The following is a 4893-nucleotide window of genomic DNA, read 5'->3' on the forward strand; positions in this document are numbered from 1 at the left end:
GTTGATTATTAGTGTGTCTGACATTTGGAGCCTTTGTAGCTTTTCTGACTTTATCACTATAAAAGCCATTTCTGTTGTAACAGTTTATTTTGTCACCCCTCATCAAAATACAAAATACTTTTTCTTTTCACAGGAGGAGATTTTCCTTTTGTGGTCCCAAATGCTGTTCTTTTAATAGAATCAGTATTAACACTGTCAAGAGGCTTCAAGAGCCCAGCAGGATACATGAAAAGTGCCGCATGTGGTGGTCATTAAAAAGGAAAAAACACAAATCCAAGACTAAACCTGGAAAAGAAATAGTTTGTGAGCATAATTAAAAGCCATCTGAAACTAAATGAGACTTTAAAAAGAGTACCTGTGACAAAAAAAGTTTGAAAATTATTACATATAACTAAAGAACTAGGTAGCTTCGAAATTTATAACCCAGTTCTCATAATTAACTTAGAAATACAGAAATGAATCTTTTACAATTGGTATGACAAGGGAAATAAGTTGTTAACATGCAGAAAGGAGTCCCAATCTTACAGAAAAGGGATGGTTGATTACAGGAATAATTAACTGGAAGTAAGTTTCTGTTCTTTAATGGATCTGTTGTTTTCTTACATGATTTCCTGTATGATTTGGAGAATGAAATGAATTTCCTGATTTTAAGCCGAAACACTTTTGTGACAGCATTTTTGTGTGAAGCTTATGATCCACTCTTTAAATAAATTATTCTTGTTAAGTCACTGTTTGAATGTGCCAGTATGTGGTAAGCTCAGTAGTGTGAAGCTGATTCATACATGCTGCAAACATTGTTCTAGCACCTGGCTGCTTGCTGGTAAAAATTACTCTCTTCCTCTGAGGATTATAATAATCATCTTGGTTATAAGCATAACTAGTGAATATTCTCAATGTCTCTTCTTTTCAATTCTCCATAATCAATGATAATCACTGGATCCTGCCCAGCCTCATCATGGAAGGATAAAAAAATACTTAAAGGCAACAGCAGATAGAAAAGTTATCCGAATGAGTCCTTTCAGAGCTTCCATTAAGGGGCAACTGATTGAGCCTAAAATACTGTAATCATCTCCAATTGTGTTGTAAATTTGAAATTATTTTTTCCATGTATGACTTCAGGTTTACAGAATGCTAACTAAAGTTTATTTTATACTATTACTCAAATATCTGATTGATAGGACAAAAAGTCATCTAATGGTATCTCTGGATATTTAATTTATAACTTTTCTTAAGATTCGAGAATAAATATCACTTGTTCTCTTGCCAGCAACTGGAAAAGAGATTGCAACACTTCTTTCCAGTTTATTGAGCTTCTACTTGATAGCAGACACCTTGGTAGGCCCAGAATATAGAAACGTGAATGAGCCATGATGCTTACGGAATGAATTGATTAAAAAAATACTACAGCATGGTAGATGTCCCACAGGAGGGTGAGCAAGGCATTACGGGAATGCAAGAGACAAAGCACTGTGCATTTGTTGGAATTTGAAGGATGAATAGAAACTTCTCTGGCAGGTAGGTTGTAGTGAGGTGGAAAAGGTGTCTCAGACAGGGAAAAGAGCATGAATCGAATCAGCATTAGCGTATGTAATAATCACAGTGTATTTCACAAGACAGATGTCCAGCTCTAACTCAGTGAGGCGTTGTATAAGTAGTCATCTTGTGTTTACAGTGTGCAGAATATTATACTGAAATATATATATCCAAAAGAGACAGTCCATAGACTGAAGAGAAAGTTATATTCGAATGAGAAAGATAAGACAATTCATTCAATTATTAGAAGATATATCTGATTCTTATGCAGTGCCTTGAGTTTTCTTTCCTAAGTTTGTCCTCTTCCTTCCATACTCTGCTGCTGGTTTTTGAAGCAGCAGCATCTACTGACCAGGGGCAAAGGGTCAGTCTCTGTCTGTCAGTCAACTTGATTCTCTCCTACCCTGCCCGCCTCTCCATTGCCCTCCTGCCTCTCCTTGCACCTTCTCAAGGGTATCACCCTCTCCTGCCTTCCTCTATATATTCTATATGCTGCTCTCTTGGTCTGGAACATCCCCTCACTCATTTTACACCTTGAATATTGGCTTCTGTGGCATTTCCTGTAGGAGATGGGCTGCTATCATGTAGCCAGCACCCAGATAATAAACAAAACCGATGCTCTGGTCTGCCGCCGCCACCCTCTGCCCTCCTCCTGGCTTCTGATAGCATTAGTTAGCTTTTCTGTTTCTGAGCATCACAGAAATGGAATCCTACAGTATGTGTTCTTTTGTGTTTGGCTTCTATAGTGAACATTATGTTAGTGATATTTGTCCATATTGTTGTGTATAGTTGTAGGTCATTTGTTTTAATTGCTGTATATATAAAATAGTCCATTAGGTAAACATCCTAACAATTATTTTCCTATTTACTATTGATTGGCATTGAAATGTTTCCAGTCTATAACTATTAAAATTAGTAAACCTATAACCACTCTTCTGCCTGTCTTCTGGCAATCAAATGTACACAATGCTGTTACTTAGATCTCAGTAGAATTGCTGAGTCATGGAATAGGAATATAGGCAGTTTGGCAGTTTTTTGTAAAGTTAATCCAACGCTTCATTTAACCAAGCAATTCTGTTTCTAGATATTTACCTGTATTATAGTCTGTTCATGTACTGCTATTTATAGCAGTAATTTATATTAAAAAAGAGTCTTAATTGGCTCACAGGTTGTACAAGAAGCATGACAGCTTCTGAGGGGAGGCCTCAGGAAAACTTTCAATCATGGCAGAAGGCGAAGGAGAAGCAGGTGCATCTTATATGGCTGGAGCTGGAGAAGAGAGATGGGGAAGGTGCCACACACTTTTAAACAACCAGATCTCACAAGAACTCACTATTACGAGAATAACACCAAAGGGGATGGTGTTAAACCATTCATGAGAAACCGTCACGTGATTCAATCATCTCCCACCACGCACTACCTCCAGCACTGGGGATTACAATTCCATATGAGATTTGGGCGGGGACACAGATCCAAACCATATTATTACCCAAGAGAAATGAAGACATATGTCCACACAAAGACCTGTTCACTTAAAAAATATCATTACTTTGTCTTCAGGCTTCTGATTTTTTTTTCTCTTGAGAAGTCCACTGTGATTCCTGCTGCTGCTCTTTTAAAGACCTTGTGTGCTTTTCCACTTGAAACTTTTAAGATTTTACTTTTGATTTTGTAATAGTCTGTTCTTACCCTGCAAATAAAGACATACCTGAGATGGGGTAATTTATAAAGAAAAGAGGTTTAATGGATTCACACTTCCACATGTCTGGGGAGGCCTCAAAATCATGGCAGAAGATAAAGAGTAAAGGGACATCTTACTTGGTGGCAGGCAAGACAGAGAGTGTTCAAAGGAACTCCCCTTTATAAAACCATCAGATCTCATGAGACTTATTCACTATTATGAGAACAGCATGGGAAAGCCCCACCTCCATGATTCAATTACCTCCCACAGGGTCCCTCCCATGGGGAGGGAATTATGGGAGCTACAATTCAAGATGAGATTTGGGTAGGGACACAGCCAAACTGTATCAGTTTTTAAACAGTTTTACTATGATGTGGTTAAGCATTATTTCTCTGTATTTTTCCTAGTAAGACTCTTAAACTCTATTTTGATTTTTTTTTAAATCAGTTTTAAAACATCCTTGGTCTTTATCTCACTGCTATTGCTTTTGGCCATTCTCTCTATTCTCTCTTACTGAGACCCCAATTTCACTTTGGATATGTTCCACATTTTATTACCCTCTCTTCTGTGTGCTTTCTTTTTCTTCTATAATTTCTTTGGTATTCAGTTTGGGTACTTAATACTTCCCTGACTTCCAGATCGCATTTTCCTTCCTATTGTTGTATTTAATATGCTATTACATTTATTCATTGAGGTTGTGTATTTCAGATATATTTTTTGGATTGAGATGATCACTTAAATATTTTATACAGATTTTAATTATGTGGTAATCATTTAGCATCTGTTACATCTTTATCTTTTGCAATATTGTTGAATATATTATTCACAGTTTATTCTTTATTTTTAATTCCAGTGTATTGATCATGTTGAGGACAGCTTCAGTTGTTTCTTTTTGTTTTTCTCCCTTATTTTCTTTTTGTCATATAATCTTGCCTCTTTGCATGTTTAGTCATTTCTAGTTATATTTTGGACTATGTATTAGAGATCTTTGGAAGCTCTGGTGATGGTGAAATTTAACCACTTGTTTGGTAGATATCATCATGGGAGCCTGCCACCTCATCAAGTCAGGGAGTTAGTTGGTCAAGTGTGGGTTTCAGGTTTTTGAAGACTCTGAGTCCCCCTGTTTCTGAGGCACGATGTTCCAGCTTTTCAACTGGCAGGCTGGCCAGTGTTGATCATCCCAAGCCCCCAAACTAAGAAAGAGTCAGTTATTTTTCACAGATGAGTTTGTTTGTTTGGTCACAAACAGCATCTAATTTGGTAAATGTCTTGGTAAAGACATGTCTATTGCCAAGAGAACTCTAGTTCTTGCCTGGTTTCTCTCTCCTTCAGAAATAGCCTTTTGCCACAGGCCATTGCTGGCTCCTATATTCTCATTTTCTGGACATCCGTGAGCAGCAGGTGCCCCAGTTCAGTCTTAGTTTTGGATCTTTCCTGTTGGTTCAGTGCCCCCTAGGGCTTTTGCCTCATAGGTGTTTTATGTTCAGAACTTCCCTTGGAGCCTCATGGTATCTGGATGCTGTGAGAGCATGGAAAATCTCAGGCTGTTTTTGAAGCTCCCAGCCTAGCCCTTCAGCCCCTGTGCAGCCTCAGGATATAGCACACGTCTCTTAGTGAAAACCAGCTGCGTATTTGAGGCTCCCCAATTTGTTATTCCAGACCTGCTCGGTCATTAAACT

At 37.9% G+C, this 4893-nt stretch overlaps 1 annotated feature.

Annotated features, from left to right (window-relative positions):
- Positions 1716-2915: an enhancer, noted in NCBI's record as "MED14-independent group 3 enhancer chr2:4268419-4269618 (GRCh37/hg19 assembly coordinates)". NCBI's record gives its function as "activates an origin of replication core promoter dependent on BRD2, BRD4, P300/CBP and CDK7 cofactors, and independent of MED14, by STARR-seq in HCT116 cells {active_cell/tissue: HCT116}" and the evidence as "EXISTENCE:reporter gene assay evidence [ECO:0000049][PMID:35650434]".

This window comes from Homo sapiens, chromosome 2 (assembly GCF_000001405.40).
Source record: "Homo sapiens chromosome 2, GRCh38.p14 Primary Assembly".
Taxonomy (NCBI): Eukaryota; Metazoa; Chordata; class Mammalia; order Primates; family Hominidae; genus Homo; species Homo sapiens.